The sequence below is a fragment of the Homo sapiens genome, chromosome 1 (assembly GCF_000001405.40).
Source record: "Homo sapiens chromosome 1, GRCh38.p14 Primary Assembly".
NCBI classification, from domain to species: domain Eukaryota; kingdom Metazoa; phylum Chordata; class Mammalia; order Primates; family Hominidae; genus Homo; species Homo sapiens.
This window is the reverse complement of record NC_000001.11, coordinates 158,559,466-158,583,443: the sequence shown is the minus strand read 5'-3', so window position 1 is coordinate 158,583,443 and position 23,978 is coordinate 158,559,466. Positions and strand designations below refer to the sequence as shown.

Sequence of the window (23,978 nt, the reverse complement as noted above, 5' to 3'; positions counted from 1 at the left end):
GCCCAGTTGAGAAGAGAGCTTAAAGGAGTGTGACTAAAGTCTGGTCTAGGTGAGCATTTTTGACACTGAAAGAATGAATCGAATAAGCATTAGGGTTGCAAATTTTATTCACCCTCCCTGCCAAAACAAAACTTATAAAGTAGCAGAAAGCATTGTTTATGGGCAGGATATAAACTCTGCAAGTTTAAAATCTCCAGAGACTCCCAAAAGAGTTTAAAAAGTCACATGTTACACAAAGCACTGTAACTAATGAGAGCAAATTACAAAGTTGGGTGGGGAAGTTATCTGCTTTCTCTGATGAAAGAGAGAGGAATCCCTTAGGATCTCCTAACCAAAACCAAACCTCTAGAGCTCAGGAATCTCAAGCACTCATAATAATCAAACTATATCTCTAAATCAGTAGAAAGGAAGGTTCTAAACCATTGTAATTTAGTGGGCTGTGGGGGTTGATCACATCACATATGGCCTAACCTCACAACTCATGTCACAGAACTCTAAAGACATAGAATATTAAAGCTTGCATAAACTCAGGATCTTTTTTCTTACTTCCCATCTGGAGAAATTCAAATCTAGAAGATACAGCAGCTTTCCCAATGTCACTAAGCTAGCACCAGTGTTTTTCATATTAAATCAATCTCAGTCTCTTTTGAGTGGTGAAAAAAAGTATGCTTCCAGCAATATTGTGAAGATTATCTTTTGGAAGAATATAATCGTGACAGTGAATTAATTGGCTTTGGAGCCTGATAAAATAAACAAGGTAGGAAACTATTTTAGACGGTTTTACTCTCTTCTCCTCATAACTAATTGTCACTACAAAAAGAAACGGTCATTGGGATAACATTACATATCTTTTCCATATCACCATTTCTCTTTGGAAAGTGTGTGTGTGTATGTGCGAGTGTGTGTGCGTGTGTATATATATATGTCACGTATATGTCATATATGACATATATATATGTCAGTGGATTCATAACCCAAATTAAATTTGACACAGGTGGATTTAGGGACAACTTCAGAGATAGATGAGGTAGGGTGGGACATAATATCCTCACAACACACACACACACACATACAAAATCACGCACACATTTAGAATATACCAGAAGTGGAGATTCTGACATTTATACTCTACTGCTGATGATTCACCAAGGAAATATTTAGCACACAGTCAAGTAAGGACTAGATAAGAAAAGACCTATCTTGGAATTTGTATTGGTGATTATTTGCATTTTCAAAAAGCTTATGAATTTAATGGTGACTTTAAAAACAGCACCTCCTCCAACCCCCTCGCTGCCCCCTAGTCCCTGCCTCAAATCCCAGGGCTGTGTTGGAAGAGGTAGAACACGTGTAAAATCAGACTGTTTTTTTTCTGGTAGTATGTTAGAAAAAGCTTGGGTTTTGTACCAAGGCCATCAAGTACTAAAATAACTTATTGTTTTGCTAATCTATTTCATATTTACCCTTTGCTATATTTAATCCTTTAGTTGTAGAATCCACATAATTTCCTTTCTTACAGAGTTACTGTGAAGGGTCAAGAGTGCTTGGGAGCATTGGTGTATGAAGTGCTCTACTGATAGGAGGAATTTTTTGCAGTGGCTTAGGAATAAGCAGAAGGAACCTATTGAAGCCTAATACTTCTGGAAGGAAAAAGATGCCTCTGAACAGTTGAAATGTAGCAGAAAGCTGATCATAGAGAAAAGTGGAACAATCATCTGCAAGTAGATTTGGAAACCAAAGATACTCGTACTGAATGTGGTTACTAAAGAGGCTCACACCAAAAGGCCTCAAGAGGAAGCCCCGGGTTATAATAGACATGGTCCTCTATAATATTCCCTTAGGTAAGAGAACAGAAAAATGGTCTTCTTATTGGGAAATGACTGCTCACTAAGAAGAGTAGATACAGTAAGTGAAAGGGAAACAGAATGGAGAAAGAGTTGATAGGAGATAAGAAAAGATTAAGTCATGTGATTCATGTATGACTGTCAGAGAGTAAGAAACTTGTAAGGTCTAAGAAGACAAAGAACCAAAGGGACCTTTAAAGTAGAGTCCAAAGGGTTGTGGATTATTTTAGGAACCACTTATAATTCAGACCTTTTTTCTACTGTGTCTTCTGACTGTCAGTGATAAGTTAGACTCTGCCATGAGAATGCTTAATCTTAGCCTAAACAAAACCTAATTAGAGTGGAAAGTCTGTTAACCTCCATGCTCAAAAATCAAATGCTATACAGTGCTGAATAACAAAGGAAAACAAAAATCATTTATATACTAAGCACTTTTTTGATGATTAACTCATCCATCTAACATTCACCAGGAATTATTACCTTCTTAAAGTGCTCCATATTATTACTCTGAAAAATACAAAAATATAAGACTTATGGTCTCTTTCTTGAAGCACTAAGCATTGATAAATGAAAAGAGTATACAATTCAAGTCAAATCTCTTTGCTTCTAGTCACAAATATGCCACTTCCAAGACATAATTTTATTTCTAAAATAAGTAATCACACTTGTCCTACCCATTTCGCAACCGTCCCATTCACTTTATATTTATGCTGTGAAGAGTAAAATCAATAAACATTTGAAATAATTTGGAAAAATATAAACCCCACAAATGCTAGTTATTAAATATGTTGACATATGGGGCAGGGAAAACAGTAGCTCAATATACTACAGGGCTGAAACAATGTGTTAAATATAGGGACTAACAACATGCTATAGAAATCAGAGGACTATGAGATTAAATCAGATGTAGCATTATTGAAAAATTTATACAATTATTAAATGCCACTTATTTTCTTTGAATGCTGAGCTGGGAATTAACAAAATAGACACAATCTCAATTGCCACCTGCACTATGCTTGTATAGTCTGCTTATCAAAACCATCCACAGATTTAATTAATTACTATTAATCCTAAGAGTCCTAGGCTACCCTATCTTTCTTCTTTCCCTCTTCTCAGAGCAGAAATAATGACACATGTTTTTTTAACTTTCTTTTAAAATTCTAGGACCTAAATATATTCTCCAAGAAGGGTTAATGACTTTGGGCTTCTCCAACAATTGCAAGTGATTGTCCAAGTTTTGTCCTAAAATTACTTGGAAATCAATTCTTGATATTTACGCAGTAAATATTTATAGACCATACATTGTGTGGAAGTTTCTGTGTTGGACCCTGACTCTATTAGCCACTTAAAAGTTTTCTCTGTGTTCAGAAGCTCATCCAAATAAAGCTCACCTAATGCATCTGAACCTCCTTTATCTGAGCATCAACTGGAGTGTTTCCTCCCATATTATACCACATGCTCATAAAATCCTTTTAAAAATAGGCCAGAGCAAGCCTTCTTGTCATATACATAGTGATGTCATATACTAAGTCATCACTAATTAGCTGCTGAATAAAGGAAAAAATGAATGGATGAAAAATGAGAAAAACACATTACCTACATATACATAGTTTTGCTAAACTACAAGAAAAAGCAGTTGGTAATTGTAATTCTGATGATTTATCTTAGTCATCACAATTTTCCTTTGATGGTATCAAAAGATAATGGTGTTGAATGTTTATTGTTGTTTCTTTCAAATTTCAGACATTCAAACGATGAAGATCAACCAGACAATCCTGAAGGAATTCATTCTTGTTGGCTTTTCTGTGTACCCACATGTACAGACATTTCTTTTTGTGGTCTTCTTTTGTCTCTACCTTCTCACCCTTGCAGGTAATCTGATCATCATGGGTCTAACTTGGGTGGACAGGTCCCTCCACACCCCTATGTATCTCTTCCTTAGTGCACTCTCCTTCTCTGAGACCTGCTATACGCTGACCATCGTCCCCAAGATGCTGGAAGATCTACTGGCCAAGGACAGAAGCATTTCAGTCACAGGTTGTAGCTTACAGATGTGCTTCTTCTTGGGACTTGGTGGCACAAACTGTATCATTCTCACTTTGATGGGATATGACCGCTTCCTGGCCATCTGTAACCCTCTAAGATATCCACTGCTTATGACCAACATTGTATGTGGACAACTTGTGGCCTCTGCTTGCACTGCAGGCTTCTTTATCTCTCTTACAGAGACTGCACTGATATTCAGGGACTCTTTCTGCAGACCCAACCTTGTCAAACACTTCTTCTGCCATATGCTGGCAGTTATTAGGCTGTCTTGTATAGACAGTAACCACACAGAATTCATTATAACACTGATCTCAGTGTCTGGTTTGCTGGGTACCCTTCTGCTCATCATCCTGACTGATGTCTTCATTATTTCTACTGTCCTCAGGATCCCTTCAGCTGAGGGCAAGCAGAAGGCCTTCACCACCTGTGCCTCCCACCTCACCGTGGTTATAATCCACTTTGGTTTTGCATCTATTGTTTATTTGAAGCCAGAAGCCTCAGGAGATGACACACTCATAGCAGTCCCTTATACTGTCATTACCCCCTTCCTCAGCCCCATCATATTCAGCCTGAGGAATAAGGACATGAAAAATGCTTTTAGAAGAATGATGGGAAACACAGTTGCCTTGAAAAAATAATCTTGGGTTGTTGCTGCTTGTTTGAAGAAGGGCTCAATGTCCCCAGAATTCAATAGGGGCATTTATCCTGTGACCCCTGGAGAAACTTGTACCATTTGCCTTGTTCCAGAGGTTGGGATGTAAGAAGCAAGTGACACAGACTGGGAACTAAGTAGCCACAGGCATCTACTTAGCTTGTTAGAGAAGCTGTCCAACCCTTCTACTATCCAGTATCAGAAGAAGAATGTCCCTGCAGATAAAAGATTCTGATAATCAACTTCCGGGTGTCCTGCAGTATTCATGAATTGAGTAAAAAGTGTGGAAGGAAAAAACAGCATATAAATCCACTGCACTGAGTGATGTTTTAAATATCTAAAGATGTCAACCATGGCTCAGGCTTGTAATCCCAGCACTTTGGGAGGCCGAGGTGGGCAGATCACTTGAGGCCAGGGGTTTGAGACCGGCCTGGCCAACATGGTAAAACCCCATCTCTACTAAAAATACAAAAATTAGCTGGGCATGGTGGTGGGTGCCTGTAATCCCAGCTACTCGGGAGGCTGAGGCAGGAGAATAGCTTGAACCCAGGAGGCAGAGTGAGCAGAGACCATGCCATTGCACTCCAGCCCAGGTGACAAGAGCAAAACTCCATCTCAAATAATAATAATAATAATAATAATAATAATAATAATAATAATAGACGTAAAAGTTAAGGATTTTTTTTAGGCAAATGTTATGAAGCACTGAAATGCACCTCCCATGAGACAAATCATTTCTGATAAGAGATGTAAGAGTATTGATGTAATTTTGAGTTCTGTTACTTATGGGAATGTTATGAAATAAATGAAATAGTGGATAAATTTATTATGCACATTAACTGATTAAGTTTACCCCTGACCATGACACTCTTTCTTTGGGATTATTTTCATGATACAGGTGCAGACAAAAATCTCTGCTACCTTCAATCTGCAGCCATTCCTTAGTGGCAAGCATTTTCTTTTGCTTTGGTTCCACTCCCGACAATTGGTTATTCAATCTAGGGAAGCTAAAAGTCTCAAAAATAAATACTATTTACTCCCTTATTATGGATGCAGAGGATGTTACGTCAAGTCTAGACTCAAGATCCTGAACCTAAATTTGGACCAATTAGCCTGCTTGTGCCTGATATAGTGACTGTGGCGGGGATTGCTAGTTGCCAGAAATAAGTGAGTAAATGGAAGCTGAAAATACCCAAAGACTCATACCCATATGGGCACTTGCTTTATGACAAGTAAAGCATTTCAGTACAGTGAGAAAATGATAGACTTTCAATATAACTGGTGCTAGGAAAATAGCATATCCATATGAGAAAAACAAAATCTGAAAAAAAAAATCAATTTCTGGAAATCGAAAACTAAATTTGAAAAGTGAAGCAATAAAACTTTAAAAGGTAATGAAGAAGATATCTTCACCAACTTGAGATAGAAAAGACTGTTTAAACTGTATGTAAAATTTTTAACTAAAATGAAAAAGGCTGATTAAATCAAAATTGAGACATTTTATTCATCAAAAAGACGCTATTGAGAGAGTGGAAAAGAAAGCCAAATCATATAGCTATAAAGAAATTTCAGAGACTGATAAGTATGAAATTTAGGATCATAATTACTTTTAGAAGGAGGGTCTGTGAGTGGGCAGGATGAGGGGCACATGAAAAACTCCTGATGGGCAAAGTTCTTTTCCTTGGTCTAGGTAGTAACTGCAAAGGCTTTTGCCCGTGAAAGATTCACTAAGCTATGTATTTGTTTAAATAATTTTCTGTGCTTACATTTTATTTTCTAATGTAAGGATTAAACAAAGCAATGCACAGAAAGATAAAAAAGTCTCTAACATGTAACTGGCAAAGGCCCTCATTTGGTATATGCAGTCATGCGTCACTTAACAATAAGGATGTATTCTGAGAAATGTGTCACTTTGTGATTTTGTCAATGTGTAAACATCACAGAATGTACTTACAAAAACCTACAATGCACATAGACTGTATGATATAGCCTAATGTTCCTAGGCTACAAATGTGTACATTATGTTACTGTACTGAATACTGTAGGCAGTCCTAACACAGTAGTGTTTATGTATCTAAACATATCTAAGCATAGAAAAGGTACAGTAGAAATACCGTTTTATACTCTTGTGAAACCATCATTGTCTTTGTGGTCTGTCATTGACCAAAACATTATTGTGTGGTATATGGCTGTATAAATAATTTCTAAAAGAAATAAAATTCTCAAAAAATAAATTAAAAGACAATAGAAAAATTTCTAAGAGATGCAAATAGATCCTTTATAAAAGAGAATATCCAAATGTTCAATAAATACCTTAAAAGGTGCTTGGTCTCATTAGTAAGCATGAAAATGAACATTAAAACCCCAGTGAGGTACTACCACATACTCACTTGAATGGCTAAAATTAAAAGGCTAGATTAACGAGTGTCAAAAAAGAAACATGAAGCAACAAGAACTCTTCAGTGCTCCTTTTTTTTTTTTTTTTTGTGAGTTGAGTCTTGCTCTGTCACCCAGGCTGGAGTGCAATGGTGCGATCTCGGCTCACTGCAACCTCCACCTCCCAGGTTCAAGCGATTCTCCTGCCTCAGCCTCCCAAGTAACTGGGATTACAGGCACCTGCCACCACGCCTGGCTTATTTTTGTATTTTTAGTAGAGACAGGGTTTCACCATGTTGGCCAGGCTGGTCTCGAACTCCTGACCTCAGGTGATCCACCCACCTCGGCCTCCCAAAGTGCTGGGATTACAGGCGTGAGCCACCACACCTGGCCTTCAGTGCTCTTAATAAGAGTGTATACTTGTTCAGTCATTTTAGAAAACAGTCTAGTATTATAAATTTATTTTGGAGATTCTCATACCCTGTGGTTAAACTTTTCTACTCCTATGTGTATGCCCTAAAGACTAGTCTGCACGTGTGTGTCATAAGACATACATAGATGTCCTTAGACACAATATTTGCAAAATGGCAAGAGCCAAAAATTACTCAGCTAATATACTACAGAATAGATAGAAAAATTATGCCATATTCATGTATGTATCAGCATGAAGTAATAAAAATGAATAAACTATAGCTACATACTTCAGCATACATGTGAAACTCTTTTTCTCCTTTTTATATCATGTCTTTCTTCTATAATCTAAGATATTATTATAATTCAAGACTTTGTCTCTGACCCAATTTCTCATTAGGGTTTTCTAAATTTTTATACCCAAGAAATTTATTTAATGGGAAGAAATGAAAATATTCTCTCCTGTCAATAAGCAATATAGTAAGACATTAATGAAGAATCAAAATAGGAGATAAATTACTTCTGTTCTGCATCTACATGTAGATTGCTTTTTGTGAAAAAAATGTCCATTTGTCTCTTCCATATATATGAATAACTCATTCTGTTCAAGACGCTACACTAACCATGAGGAAAACAAGAACATACAAGATATATTTTTTTCTCTCAAAAAACTTACATTCTGCTAGTGGGGAGGCTAAGAAATTATGATGCAATATGAGTTAAGGTTTATACAGATTTATGGGAGCACTCAGGAGATACAGTACCCACATAAGATCACTATAGAATTTACCTATATTGTTGGCCAACATCCTCAGAATAGACTGTTCCACCTGAATATCATTTAATACATCCTCTAAACAGGAAAAAGAAAGAGCCAGGAGGAACCCTCTTTGGGTAATAACAAATTGCAAACACTGACCTCAGTAATCATTCCTTCAAAGAAGTCTGAATTTTATTGCATTACTCAGTAGAGAAACTTATGTTCTAGGGCATTTTGGAAACAATGGAGCAATCAGCAGGTAATTATTAGATTAAAAGCTGGATGTAGTCAGGAAAAGGGACAACATAAGCTCTGCCAAAATTATTGTCACCCCAAGGTGACTAGGCATATGTGTATCCTCTGAAAAGCAACATCAAAGACTTAACACAGCAGAAGTATAGGGGAGGATAGACTTTACAAAAATAATCCAGCCAGCAACTGAACAAGTAAACGAGCAAATAATGAAAAAAAGACCTAGTGGGGAGAGAAGGGAGAAAGACCAGTAACCAGAGTTTCTACAATATATTATGCAAAATTCCAGTTTCCAATATAAACTATGCAAAGAAAGAGAAAAATGTTACCCATATGAAAAAAAAAGAAAATCAGACAACAAAAACTGCTGGTGAGAGTGTGACTAGATGCCGTATCTAAAAGATGGACTTCAAAGTAACCATTGTAAATATATTTAAAGATGTAAAGAAAATCATGATTAAAGAAGTAAAGGAAGATATATGACAATATCATATCAAATACAGAATACCAACAGAGAGATAGAAATTATAAATGAAAAACAAATTAAAACTGTGGAATTGAAAGTATAACCACTGAAGAGAAAAGTTTACAAGAGCACTCAACAATAAATTAGAACTAACAGGAAAAGAAAATAATGAACTTGAAGTTAGAGTGATAAAGATTATGCAGCTCAAAGGAGAACGAGAAAAAAAAAACATGAAAAAAATAGAGCCTTAGAGAAGTCTGGGGTGCAATTAAACACACCAAAACTGGTGTAATGAGAGTACCAGGAAGAAAGAGCAAAGAGAAAGGAGAAGAAAAAAATATTTGAGGAAATAATGGCAGAATACTTTCCAAATTTATTGAAAAACATAAAGCTACACATCTAGGAAGCTCAACAAATTTCACATAGGATAAATGCAAAGAGGTACACAAAAAGACACATCATAGTAAAAATGCTGAAAGTCAAAGACAATGAGCAAATTTTGAAAGCATCAAATGAAAAATGGCTGATTATTTACTAGTCAGCCCCAATAAATTTAACAGATGGCTTTTTAGCAGAAACAATGAAGACTAAAAAGTGGGATAACATACTCAGTGTTCAAAAAACAAAACAAAACTTGTCAACTAAGAATTCAATCTCAGGGATTTTAAAATTGTCTTCATTTAAAATAATCAAAAACTGGAGGCCAGACGTGGTGGCTCAAGCCTGTAATCCCAGCACTTTGGGAGGCTCAGGGAGGCGGATCACCTGAGGTCTGGCGTTCGAGACCAGCCTGACCAGCATGGTGAAACACTGTCTCTACTAAAAATACAAAATTAGCCAGGCATGGTGGCACACACCTATAATCCCAGCTACTCAGGAGGCTGAGGCAGGAGAATCACTTGAACCCAGAAGGCAGAGGTTGCAGTGATCCAGAATCACACCATTGCACACCAGCCTGGGCAACAAGAGTGAAACTGCATCACACACACATACACACACACACACACACAAACTGGAAACCACCAAAATTTTCTTCAAGAAGAAACTACTTAAACTGTAGTATATCTATATCTTGAAATATTACTCAACAATGAAAAGGGACAAGCTGTTGATAGAAACACACAATCTAAATCAATCTCTAGACAATTATACCAAATGAAAAATATCATTAAAGGTACATACTATAAACACATATAAATAAGAACCAAATGAAAACTCTAGAGTTGAAAGTATAATCACTGAAGAGAAGAATTCACAAGAGCACTAAAAAATATACGTATGTACCTTTATAAATGTATACATGTATATTTATAAATCCATACAGATATGTATATACATATATATTTATAAACACATACTATATTTATAAATATATAAATATTTACATTTCAGTTTAATTTCTGTCTCTGTCACTTACTAGGTTTGTGATTCTGTCATATATATATATACACAGAGATATGTGTGTGTGTGTGTGTGTGTGTATAGCATCCTTCAAATGAAGCAATTATTAAAATTGAAAGTAGATTAGTGGTTGCCAAGCTGCTAACGGTTAAGAATGTGAGTGAGAGAAAAGTTAATGTGCCTATAAAAGAGCAACAGAATGGAATCATGTGGTGATTGACATGTTCTGTACCTTCACTGTAACAATGTCAACATCCTAGCTGTCACAGCATAGTATAGTTTTGTAAGATATTACTCTTGAGGATAATTGGGTAAAGGATACGTGAGATCTTTCTGTATTATTTCTGATAATTGCATATGAATCCACAGTCATCTAAAAATAAACTCAGAATCAATATGATTTGAGTTTAATTTCTGTCTTTGCCATATACTAAGTGTGTGATTCTATGATAATCACTTACTTTTTTTAAGCATCATTTTTACCTCTTTAACAGGATCATAATTTCTTGTATCTGAAACTGCCAGTGATAATATATATTCTCACTACAAGCTCAGTAATAGAACTCTCTGGAATTTTAGCTGAGTACACAGATGGCCAGTTAGTTACTACATTTATTAGCTTTCTTTGTGGCCGGGTTTGACTATTAAGTGACCAAGTTTTTAATCAATGAGATATAAGTGGAAATGATGGGTGAAACTTCTGTATCTCTCTCTCTGAAGATCAGTTTCTCTCTTTCTGCTTTCCTGATGGTGAGGACAGGGAAAAACAGAACAGTGCCTTGGACTTCCAATAGAAGCCTTCTATTGAGTCTGGGAGGACCAACCATCTGCCTGTGCTTTTTACAATCTTGTGAAATCAAGCTGCTCCACAGGCCATGCCAATTATGGACCACTCATCACTGTAGGGCTATATGAAAGAGAAATAAATTCTATCTTATTTAAGCAGTTGTATTTTTGTACCATTCTAAACTTGGCAGTTTGGATTATAGCTACATTGTATTGCTAAGATAATTAAATAAAATATGTATAAAGTTTTTAGCAAAATGTCCAGTATACAGTGATTGTTCAGTAAATGGCAATTGTGTATTTTTTGCACCAATAGGAAAAAGTGTAAAAACAGCTTCCTCTTTTTTATTTTAATACTTTTTTCTTGTTTTATCACCACCCTCACCTTCCTGAAATTGTCTAGCCCCTTAACTTCCAGAAAACACTGTACTCTTACAATTCCTTTCTTGGACAATTTTTGGTCTTTTTCCTTCTTTGGTCTGCATTTCTCAAGCATTTCCTTTCCATCTTTCTCTTTCTTTTTGTTCTCAACTCTGTTCCTCTGGTTACATTTATCAAGTGTGATTTTACATATTTATTAATGCTGACTCCCAAGTTTATAAACTGAAGACAGACTTAAGATCCAAGCCAATATTTCTGATTTATTGCTGCATATACCTGCCTTTCCCTTGAGCTTAATATGTCAAGACTGAACTCATCCCTGGCTTTCTCATGTTGTTCTGCCTTCTGTGTTTTCTGAAAGTCACCATCTCCTTACCATTTGAGCTAAAATCTCTGCAATAACTGCATTTCTCCAACTCCTTATAGCATCATTTAATCTTTTGCAAAGTATTTACTTACAACTCTATTGTTCTGCAGTAACAACAAATTGTCATTATTGCCAAGAGAAGAGAGCCATCATTTTTACTGGAGGCACTTCCTCTCCAATATTGCATCCTAAACAGGTCGTCTGGGCTCTGCTTGAACACTTTCGGTGACAGGCTGCTTAGCACATACCCCACGAGGAACCCTACTCCATTTGCTACAGTTCAGAAGAACAAGAAGCAAAGAAGTAACCTGGGTATGAATGACAGTCAGGAAAACCAGAGTGGTAAGAGAAAGAAAACCCCATTATTTTCAGAAACAGACTCAGATCTGAGGCAGGACTCAGGAATTCACAAGCACTCCTCTACACATCTTCCCACCAATTATCCTGAGATCTTCCCCGTGCACCAAGTTTTATTTACAAAGGGTTGTAAAGAAGGGCAAGCAGCAAACAGGCTTTCCTCACGGAGCTTGTAGACTTATGGAAGAGAGATAAAGCATTTCTCCCTCATACATAAGCACAAACAAGTAATAAGAGGCAACGGTGAACAGAGTTTAACAAATAAACATCTTCTCAAAAAATGTAACAGTCTAAATAAGCTATCAGAATTAACTTGTCCATAACTCTTACTTTATTGTGTTATTTCCTCAACAGAATTTTAGTTTTGAATTATCATTATATCTAGGCGCCTCTTAGGCACTTCTGAAAATAGGGTTTGTGGAAGCACTACATGGATGACACTCAGGCAATGAACCCGAGGACGTTACTCCACTTCAGTGCACACCCGTGTCCCTCTGGACAATGCTTTTTCATTGTATCACCTATGCCCTAGAACAAAGGGTCCCTGAGGCGACTTGGACACAGTCTTCTTGGGGAGAGGTAGGTCACCATGACAATGCATACTAAGGGCTATGTCCCTGATGAGAATATAATAAGGGAAATGTAATAAGGGCTTGCTACTGCTGCCTCTGTTTGCTTCAGGGCCCCATCTGCAAAACCTCAGCCCTACCGTGCCACAAACAACTTAGAGACCAGCATGAAGTATCAACTTTATTGAAGAGTTTCTAGGGCAAACCATACCTGCCCAGAGGCAAAAGTTAATCAGCCTATTGACAAATATCAAAAGGCAGGGTATATGTGTGAATGTGGAAGACAGGCAAGCAAAGAAGTAGGTGAACTTCTGTGACAAATTTTGTTCTTATTCAGGTTAGACACCCTCAAATCCTTCATCCATTCCCTATGATTTTCAATTCCGTATAATCCTGAAAATTGCTTGAATTTCTTGAGATATAAAATGTGCTTAAAATTTGAAAAAGCTTAATCATTCGAACATCTCAGAGTGAGTACCCTGTCATTTTAATCTTTTGTTCATGTGTTTATGATTCTAGAGATAGCACCTGAGAAATGCATCTGAAATGTTCACAAGGGTGAGGGATTTTTTTTAAGTGGCAATGAGGTAAAATGTTAGAGATTTGTGAAGGCATTGGTCAGGGCAGGAAAATATGTGTGGGAAAGGGGAACCCAGAAAGCAGAAAGCCATGATAAGAGAGGCAGAAGCCAATCTTTGTGTGTTTAGGCTGTAGCACTTCCCTTGCCCTAAGGCAAGACCCAAAGAAATACCTATCATATTAAGTCTATATCTACGAATTCGAATGAGATTTAAAAAAAAACAAAAACTATTGAATGAATTTGACTGCCATACACAGAGAAGACAAACAAACAAAAACCCTTTATTGTTATGTAAATGAGTCCACTTGGCTATAACCATGGACATTTACTTATTTCCATGGAAGATGTACAGGATAGAGGTTAAATTTCCCACCATACCTGCATAGCGAGATTATCAAAGTTTATTCCACTTCTGCAATTTTCTAGATGTATGATCTTGAGGAAAAAAATCACTCATCTTTCTGTGTCATTTACAAATAGAAATAATGGTGCTTAAACTCACTGGGCTGTTGTGAGAATTAAGTTAGCATATGAAAAATACTCACTACCCTGCACAGAGTAATGAATTATTATTATATCTTCTTCATATGCCTTATAGATAGAGACGAAGACAGTAATTATAATAATCTCAGACAGTCTTCAGTTGTTAATTCACCAGTTTTTTGGTAGGTGCATTAAGATTCTTCAATTTGTGATGATAAATGAGGAATTCAAGGGAAACAAAGAAAAACAAAACAGGTAGTTTTCTCTGGGAGTGGGATATACCTATGCACAGGGCTCTGCCCAATGTGTCTCCAGATGAAGGCTTGTGTTGCTTCCCATAGAGCACCACTGAACACCAGGCAATCTACTACTAACCTTCACTTATGTAACACCTAAAAGGTAGAGGTTAAACAGGAATCCAGGCAAATGTGCTGGTGTGAATAGCTAATTTGGAAGATCCAAGTGATATCTACATGGTTTCAGGCCCACAGAGCTATGGTATCACCAATGTGCTTTACAATAATAAGTTGTTTCATATTATGGGCAAATAATTCTCAGGTAATCGTCTCTGTTAATGTGATATAATCTAGTGAAGTAGGAATGACAAATATTACCAGCAGTGGCAGCAGAACTATTTCACAAATAATAAAACAGGTTCGACATTCCACCCCTGAAATGACATTCTACCTCTTAAATTTCCAAGTTCTTAAAGTATTACCTTATTTATTTCTTAACTAATTTGATAAATATACGTTGGTTATGTATTATGGCCAAAGCAATGAACTTCACTAGAATAGAGCAATGAGTGAGATCTCTGCTACCAAGGAGGACAAATCCAGGAAGGTACATAGCTACCCCATAGATCTATTAATAGAGTCATGGTCATAATAGCAGCTGTGAGTGTGAAGGACTTTTTGGACAAAGTCCTCACAGAGGCTTTGTTGTTTATTATGTTTATTCATGTGCAAAAGACCAGAGGTAAAATAACAGAGTGGTGTCTTGAAGAACTCTGCTGTGACTGGAGGAATAAATGAGAGGAATGGAAAACAGGAGTAAAGGGGAGGGTAATGTTGAAGGGGAGCATTCAAAGGCAAATAAAAGATAAATTGTACAATAGCATCAATATCATCTAGTCCTGAGAAGACCAACCCATAAAGAGCTGTTCTTGGTTCTGAGGGAAAATACAACAGGAGAATTCTTCAAGGTGTTCCCCATTAATTATTACTTGGAATCTAAGTTGCCAAATGAGAAGGGTATGTTTAAAGAGATCATCACTGTGTGACTGCTAACATTGCAGGCTAATGGTAGAATCCTCCCTTGATATAAAAATTTTGTAGCACTAATAGAGGAGGAAGGGCTCCCAGACTGATGATGGAGAAGACACACCTAGAAGTTAAAGCAAGTAAGAAACAAAAAGAAAGAACAAATACAAGAAGAGTTCAGTGGGCACAGTGCCGTGATATACTCAGAGCTACAGAGGGGATCTGAGTACTATGATTCAGAAGTAGTCTATCGAGGAGGGCCTCTTCAAACAGGGAGGGCAGACTGGGAGCAGGAAAAGAATAAAAGAACAGACAATTTCTGGTGGACAATAGGGGCTGAAGTTGCCTTGGTTGGAGAAGAAATTTCTCTGCAGTAGCAGGCCAGGTTAAATAGCAAAAAGGGTTCAGTTTTCAGCAACTGAGCTTGAAACTCGTGAAGGTGATGTCATAATATGACTGAGGGGTGGGCAGGAGGGAGGGGTATAGGCACCTCTGGGCACAAGGGGACCAACTTGCAGTCTTGTCTTTGAATCAGCAGACAATCTAAGTCACTGTAGGCTACAGAGCAGGATTGGCTTCCAACAAACTTGTGAACAGTCAGTAAATTTCTTTTTTGTGTGTGTGTGGTTTTAGTTTTATTTATTTATTTATTTATTTATTATTATACTTTAAGTTTTAGGGTACATGTGCACATTGTGCAGGTTAGTTACATATGTATACATGTGCCATGCTGGTGCGCTGCACCCACTAACTCGTCATCTAGCATTAGGTGTATCTCCCAATGCTATCCCTCCCCCCTCCCCCAACCCACAACAGTCCCCAGAGTGTGATGTTCCCCTTCCTGTGTCCATGTGTTCTCATTGTTCAATTCCCACCTATGAGTGAGAATATGCGGTGTTTGGTTTTTTGTTCTTGCGATAGTTTACTGAGAATGATGATTTCCAATTTCATCCATGTCCCTACAAAGGACATGAACTCATCATTTTTTATGGCTGCATAGTATTCCATGGTGTATATGTGCCACATTTTCTTAATCCAGTCTATCATTGTTGGACATTTGGGTTGGTTCCAAGTCTTTGCTATTGTGAATAGTGCCGCAATAAACACACGTGTGCATGTGTCTTTATAGCAGCATGATTTATAGTCCTTTGGGTATATACCCAGTAATGGGATGGCTGGGTCAAATGGTATTTCTGGTTCTAGATCCCTGAGGAATCACCACACTGTCTTCCACAATGGTTGAACTAGTTTACAGTCCCACCAACAGTGTAAAAGTGTTCCTATTTCTCCACATCCTCTCCAGCACCTGTTGTTTCCTGACTTTTTAATGATGGCCATTCTAACTGGTGTGAGATGGTATCTCATTGTGGTTTTGATTTGCATTTCTCTGATGGCCAGTGATGGTGAGCATTTTCTCATGTGTCTTTTGGCTGCATAAATGTCTTCTTTTGAGAAGTGTCTCTTCATATCCTTCGCCCACTTTTTGATGGGGTTGTTTGTTTTTTTCTTGTAAATTTGTTTGAGTTATTTGCAGATTCTGGATATTAGCCCTTTGTCAGATGAGTGGATTGCAAAAATTTTCTCCCATTCTGTAGGTTGCCTGTTGACGCTGATGGTGGTTTCTTTTGCTGCTTCCCACCCTTCACTCCGTTTTCCAACAACTTTCCCACATCCCTCAGGACTGACCCTGGTAGGTTGGAATTTCACCAATTTTATGCAGTGCAATAACTGGAAAAGAACCCTAGTTTTCCTTTAGTTCAATTACCTATATTTTCAAAGTATAATATCAATCTGAATGATGTAAATTCAAGACTAAACAAATCAAGACTGAAACTCATTCCACTAATATTTATTGAGTGCCTACTATGATTTGCTACTGCTCTGTTACACTGATAATAGAGGGGTAAGGACAAGTCCCCTTTCAGATGTTCTGTCATTGTTCAGTCTGCCTTAGCATCTCAATTCCCTTACCTTGTCTCTTGAGAATTTCCAGCCATCATTTTCAAGTTTTTCCCATCCTCTGTTATTACCTACTCCTGAGGCATGTTGGGCTTCCTTCCTACCCTGTCCCTAACCTTACCACTCATACCTTCTCTTTAAACTCTCACTCCGAAAAGTATCTGATGCATTAAAGTCACTGTTTCCAAACTGGACTTTTTGGACACTTGAGGGTATAAAAATAAAAATAAAAATCTTCCAATGTCCAGGCAAGAATAGTTCCAAAGGACTGATTCTCTCATCTTCAACTCCTCTAAGAGCTCTTAAAATTGATCTGCTAGAGAAAGTGTCCTTTCCTTTCCCACTTCTCTTTAATTTTTTTTTAACAAGGAAAAGCATAGCAAAATCTTGCCATATGGAAGTGTCCAAGAGTGTAAGTTAATGCCATTGCCAATGTCAGTGTTGAGAAAGTAAATGGCTAATAACTGGGTATCAAATCCTTTTGCAGGTCAGTGGTTTGCAATCTATTTCTTTCAATGCAATTGAAATAGAAGCTAATCAAGTTGTCAGCTAATAGATGAATGAAAATAATTTTGATGATATGTTACTGAATATTTTCTGGCACACAACTAATAAAAAGTTTAAATAATCTAGTGTTATTTCTATAACAAAACTAACTTTCATTCATGGAGCTATGGTACATCAATATCACTTATATGTGAACTAGTTTGCTTAGTGTTTACACCTCCAAAATGAAAATTCAGAATAGAATCGATGCTAAAATGTTTCTCATTGTGGTAATAAGTCTTACAATACACGCAAACATTGGACAAAAGCATAATATACATTATTATGAGATAGTTTTCCAGTAAATTTAAAAATTTTTGTCCAATGTATTTTTAGATGTTTTATATATTTATATTTATATTGCTTTAGGTAAATGTATGCTAATTATATAACAGCTAGAGAAAATCTTTTATAAAGCACTCATAGTCTTAAAAGTACAGGAAACAATAAACATGTAGGTAGATGATACAGAGAAATCAATAAAAGACTTGCAATTATAAATATATTACAATACCATGAATTGTGACTTTGGTGAAATAAATGATTTAAAATTTCCAGTTTTAAAAAGATACGCTCATTTGTGTACTTGTTTAAACAAGTATCAGTGGATATCATTACCATAGCACTGATATTTAGATTTCATTAGATTTCATTGAATACATAAAGAAGTAATCTAATAGTTTCATTTAAAAGTTCAATTCTCATAATGCAGTAAAAAATTAGACTCCCTGTGGCCACATAAATGTCTGATAAAAAGTAGATGTTGTGCCTGTAGTCCTAGCTACACAGGAGGCTGAAGTGAAAGGATTCCTTGAGCCCAGGAGTTTGAGTCCAGCCTGAAGAACACAGCAAGGACTCATCCTTTAAAAATAAAAATAAAAATAAAAAATTTGATGTCAAGTTAAAACTATGCAAATTAGTATATCATTTTTTAAGTTTCTTAGAGGAAAATAATGTTTAAAGACAGGTACTTATATCACACCAAAAGTAAAAATGCTTAATGACATGTCACCCAATCTCAAGTCAGACTTGTAATTTTACCAGGGTCTCCCTGGAGACGTCAGGTCACTGACAATGTTAAAAGAAGACTGGAAAAGCATAGAAGAATGGTTGAGAAAATGACTTCCTCTTTCATTTTCCTGCCTCACCAGTTGCATCAGTTTCCCATGGCTACTGTAACAAACTGCCACAAATATGGTGGGTTTTAACAACAGAGAGTTATTTTCTCACAGTTCTGGAGGCCAGAAATCCAAAATCAGTATCACTTGGCTCAATTCAAGGCACAGGCAGAGCCGCACTCCCTCTGGAGGCTCTTGAGAAATTCTTCTTGCCTCTTTTAGCTTCTGATGGCTGTGGGCATTCATTCAAGATAAAGATCTTGTGGCCAAATCATTGCAGTCTCCAAGGCCAGCATCCTTAAATCTGTCTCTGCTTCATCTTTACATTGCCTTCTCCTCTGTGTGTCCGTTTCAAATTTCACTCTATCTCTGTCTTGTAAAGACCTTTTTCATTGTATTTAAGGCCCACCTAGAAAATCCAGGATAAGCCCTCCATCTCAAAGTCCTTAATTTAATCACATTTGCAAAATATTTGCCGTATGATGTAACATTTATAGATTCCAGGAATTAAGACATGTACAACTTTCAGAAGTTCAATTTTTTAATCTGTTATACCTCCTGGAAATAAGACTGCCTAATTCTAGCACTACAAATGTATTCAAAAATATATGTAAAGTGAACGGAAAAATAACTATTCTCTGGAGCAGAACTTCATTATCTCCTTTGTATTGAATTGTCTCTCTATTTGGAAATGAATATTTTTCAGAGCAATCTTCATACTGCCGTGTTGCCTTGCATTATAGTTCAAGCAATCTCCTTGAGTTATTACTTCCCCTTAGTACAATTTCCCTTGAGAAATAAGCTTGTAGGCTCTAGCTTGCTGTCACACTTTCTTTTATTCCCTCATTCAACAGATACTGAGTAAAGGTGCTGTGGGCTTAGGAGTTTATTGTTGTTTCTAAGGGATGTAAAGGAAGAGCATGTCCTGGACAAGAAAACAAGAATCAAAATGCCAAGCAGTTCTGAAATCACTCAGAAAGTATTTATCAAATACCCACTGTAGTTAAGATTGCTAGGTAATTGAGTACTCAGGTCTGTTAACTTTTCCTATAAGGTGAGAGAAAAAACAGCAAAGTGAAGAGGAAAAATGTTATAATAATTAATATGCCACTAAGCTCTTCAGTGGTTATAACCTGTGAGAGTATGTTGGTGGTTTGTTGCAGCTATCTTTCAAACCTCTTGTTCTTCCTGTGATTTATTTTAGGCACTCAAGTGGACAGAGAGCCATGAGAAATTTGAGTGGAGGCCATGTCGAGGAGTTTGTCTTGGTGGGTTTCCCTACCACGCCTCCCCTCCAGCTGCTCCTCTTTGTCCTTTTTTTTGCAATTTACCTTCTGACATTGTTGGAGAATGCACTTATTGTCTTCACAATATGGCTTGCTCCAAGCCTTCATCGTCCCATGTACTTTTTCCTTGGCCATCTCTCTTTCCTGGAGCTATGGTACATCAATGTCACCATTCCTCGGCTCTTGGCAGCCTTTCTTACCCAGGATGGTAGAGTCTCCTACGTAGGTTGCATGACCCAACTGTACTTCTTTATTGCCTTAGCCTGTACTGAATGTGTGCTGTTGGCAGTTATGGCCTATGATCGCTACCTGGCCATCTGTGGACCCCTCCTTTACCCTAGTCTCATGCCTTCCAGTCTGGCCACTCGCCTTGCTGCTGCCTCTTGGGGCAGTGGCTTCTTCAGCTCCATGATGAAGCTTCTTTTTATTTCCCAATTGTCCTACTGTGGACCCAACATTATCAACCACTTTTTCTGTGATATTTCCCCACTACTCAACCTCACCTGCTCTGACAAGGAGCAAGCAGAGCTAGTAGACTTCCTTCTGGCCCTGGTGATGATTCTACTCCCTCTATTGGCTGTGGTTTCATCATACACTGCCATCATTGCAGCCATCCTGAGGATCCCTACGTCCAGGGGACGCCACAAAGCCTTTTCCACTTGTGCCGCTCATCTGGCAGTGGTTGTTATCTACTACTCCTCCACTCTCTTCACCTATGCACGGCCCCGGGCCATGTACACCTTCAACCACAACAAGATTATCTCTGTGCTCTACACTATCATTGTACCATTCTTCAACCCAGCCATCTACTGCCTGAGGAACAAGGAGGTGAAGGAGGCCTTCAGGAAGACAGTGATGGGCAGATGTCACTATCCTAGGGATGTTCAGGACTGATATACAACAGGTCTTGGGAGAGGTGAAAATAGCAGAATCTTAATAGGGCCTCCTCAAGGAATCAGAATAGGCTTTAAGGGAACATAAATATAATTTGCCAACATTTTCTCTAAATATTGTCTGGGACCTTCTGATACAAATGAAACTTTATGAATCATTTATTTTTTACAGGGGTTTTCAAACTAAGGTTGGACTAGCTACAGAAGAATCACCTGGGAATTTGTTAAAATACAGATTCCCCCAAAAAAATATGTGGAGAGTCTTACTGAGTATGTGTGGAATGTAACCCTGCCGTGAATAATATTCAAAACTTCCTGGGAATTCCTATTTCATAGACAGTTTGGGATTCCCTAGTCTAGACCAAGCCCATTATTTCGTAAGTGAGAAAATATAATATGAGAAAACAAGGGAACTTACTGGTGGACATGCCAAGAAAAAAATTTGGTAGACTTCAGTGTAACAATTTCAAAGATCCAGATTCTCAAATCCCACTTTCATAAGAAACTACACAAGTAGGTTATACCCCAAGACCTAATTTCATATCATCTTATCTACAAAACTCATATTCACTGAAAGTCAAAGCAGAGAGAGATGCAGTGCTGATATTCAGCCATATATTCTTGACTCAATATGGCTAACTATCCTCTCCATCTCCCTTCTTTGAATCTCAGGGGCATGTAAAGCTGGTTGACCTAACAAATATTGACCAGGTAGTAGGTAAAATGTTCTAGAAAGCTTATATACAGATCTTCTCCTTCGCTATGGCCAGCACCTGTTTTAAGTAATTAGTGCCAGGGCTATACCGATAGTGAAATATTTTAAATTGTGTTCCTAGTCAAAGGATTGTAAGAACAGAAAATGCCTTCATAAGAAAGAAGATTGAAGAGCCATAGATAGGATGCAGATATCTCTATGGCAATTGGGATGTCTCAGGTTCATAGCCTGAATCATAGGTATTCTAGCAAGTTCCTTTGATTTTTGGAAAGTTACTTGAATTGTTCAGAGAAATTTTTCTTATCTTGAATCTAGGCTCATTTACACAAATTTCTGCATATTGAACCAAATTCAATGATTATTTAGATGTGGGATATGTGAAACAAAATAAATATGCAATAACAATAAATATGCATATTGGAACAAATTCCAGTAAACACGGATTGTTGGTCAGTGCACATTTGCCTATTCCGAGACAGATTTTGAGGGAGAAAAAGACATGTGTCCATCAATGCAAGCTACTTTATCAACAATCATTTTAGATTTTCCAGTATTAAAAACAAAATAACAATAAAAGATCTGATACTTAAAACAGTTTAAGTTGTTTTGTTTTCATAAAATTTCTAAATAGCCTTAGAAACAGCTCTGAACATAGCTCAATTTACATTACATTCTCCTCTCCTTTCATAGAATTATGAGAGACATGGAGTTCAGAATTCAGACCCTAGAACGAGCAAATTTCAATTTGATCCTGGCTTTACTAATAACAAGTTATGTGATCATAGGCAAGAAACTTTACATCTCTGCTCTTAGTTTCTCTTTGATAATAAAAATAATACCCTTTCCATCATATGGGCTTGTTGTGAATATTAAATAAATAACACATATGCGGGCAAAGGGTTAGCATTTTTTTTCTCTTTCCTTTTGGATAAATTTGATCTTGGATTAATTTCTAGTTCTGGTTCTCTAGAAACCTAATAAACATTACTACACAAAATTACTTATGGCACAAATTATCTCTGAGCAGCAAATGACCTCTGGACTGGGAGGATGATGAATGTATTAAGGATATCTAGTGGGAAATAATAGCTTCAAGCTACTTTTGTAACTTGGCATGTCTTTTGAGGGAATTCTAGAAGCTATGGATGCCCATGAAATTGTTACAAGTGATATAGGCTCTTACAGGGCTTGAAAATTCCAAGTTAAGGTGGACTCTGCACCCCTTGATGAAAATCTTATGTCCACCTACCTGAGCTAAGACTTTAAATGACAGAGTCTATTCCTTCAACTGCTTTCAGGACTTCCTTTCTGTAAGAGAAACTCCTAAAACTGCCCTTCTAGAATGTTGGATTTGCTATCCTGCTTCCCTGAGTTAATTTTATGCCAGGTGAGGTCTTTTATAGTGTGTCAGTTTGTTTGCTGGACCCTAAGAAGACCTTCTGGCATGTAATACCGTTAACTCACAGTAAGCATTTAATAAATGCCAAGCTCCATCATTATTATCATTTTATCATTACAAATATCACGATATGCTTTCTAAAGGATATGCCTGTTCCATTAATCATGTATTAAACTCACTCTTACTCAAACTGAGATTGGAGAATTGGCTTTCTCTAAGACACATATAGAAAGGAAAGCTCCAAGCAACTTTGTAACTATGCGGAGTAGGTAACAAGTTGATCAGAAAGTTTAGCATTCCCAATTATACAATCTAAAATTGGGCCAAGATGTCATCAGATTGAGTCAGTGAAGTTCCTCCTTTAAAAAATGATTAAAACATGCTATTTCTATGACTCTCATGATGTCATTGTCATATTTTTTCCCATTGGAAGATCACAGTGCTTTGGATTTATTATTCCTCCACTGTGAGAGCTTCCCATAGTGCATTAATTGGTGTTGATGGGTTTCTAACTACTTACTTCATAGATTTCTTCAAATATTCTATTTTACTCCAACAACAGTGCTTTTAATATAAAACATGCTTTGCAAATGGTTCTTATTTGCAACTCAGTTTCAGTTAAGAAAATAAGTGGTTGTTTTTTGGTTGCCTGGCCAAAAGTGACCTCATTTTTCATTGCTACGATAACCTAATTTTTTGAAGCTGAAAACATGCCTGACCCAGGCAATAAACCTACATCTCTGCCATACAGTTGATATCTCAGCTTCTCTTGAAACTAAGACTGGCTATGTATCTAATATTTTCCCAATAAAACATAAGTGGAATTCTGCTGGAGAGGTTATCTTTTAGAGAGAAAGAGGTGGCTGGTGCTCATGCTAGCACTGCCCCTTTTCCTTTTCTGAACCTGGATTTGATGGCTGGAATTCCAGCAGCCATCTAGAAGGTAATAAATATGGGAGGAAAGTTCAACACACTAAGGCTAGAGATGCAGAACTATATAAAAATCATGGGTGTTTAGTAGTATGGCTGAAAAATTGAACTAGGTTGGTGCAAAAGGAATTGTGGTTCTGGA

The 23,978-nt window shown here is 37.2% G+C and overlaps 2 protein-coding genes across 2 annotated transcripts; both read left to right on the top strand.

Annotated features, from left to right (window-relative positions):
* The first annotated feature begins 3,544 nt into the window (after nt 1–3,544).
* Nucleotides 3,545–4,525, top strand: OR10X1 (olfactory receptor family 10 subfamily X member 1). The gene has a single exon (NM_001004477.1). The coding sequence runs from the start codon at nt 3,545–3,547 to the stop codon at nt 4,523–4,525; it is 981 nt and encodes a 326-aa protein (NP_001004477.1).
* An 8,338-nt stretch (nt 4,526–12,863) lies between these two features.
* OR6P1 (olfactory receptor family 6 subfamily P member 1) lies at nt 12,864–22,838 on the top strand. The gene is made up of 3 exons (NM_001160325.2): nt 12,864–13,002; nt 16,586–16,680; nt 19,818–22,838. Exon 3 carries the CDS (start codon nt 19,840–19,842, stop codon nt 20,791–20,793), a length of 954 nt encoding a protein of 317 aa, NP_001153797.1. The 5' UTR covers nt 12,864–13,002; nt 16,586–16,680; nt 19,818–19,839; the 3' UTR covers nt 20,794–22,838.
* The last annotated feature ends 1,140 nt before the right edge of the window (nt 22,839–23,978 follow it).

Excerpts from the sequence above, each read along its gene's own strand:
- OR10X1 (NM_001004477.1), top strand. The coding sequence starts at position 3,545 with ATGGTGTTGAATGTTTATTGTTGTTTCTTTCAAATTTCAGACATTCAA.
- OR6P1 (NM_001160325.2), top strand. The coding sequence starts at position 19,840 with ATGAGAAATTTGAGTGGAGGCCATGTCGAGGAGTTTGTCTTGGTGGGT.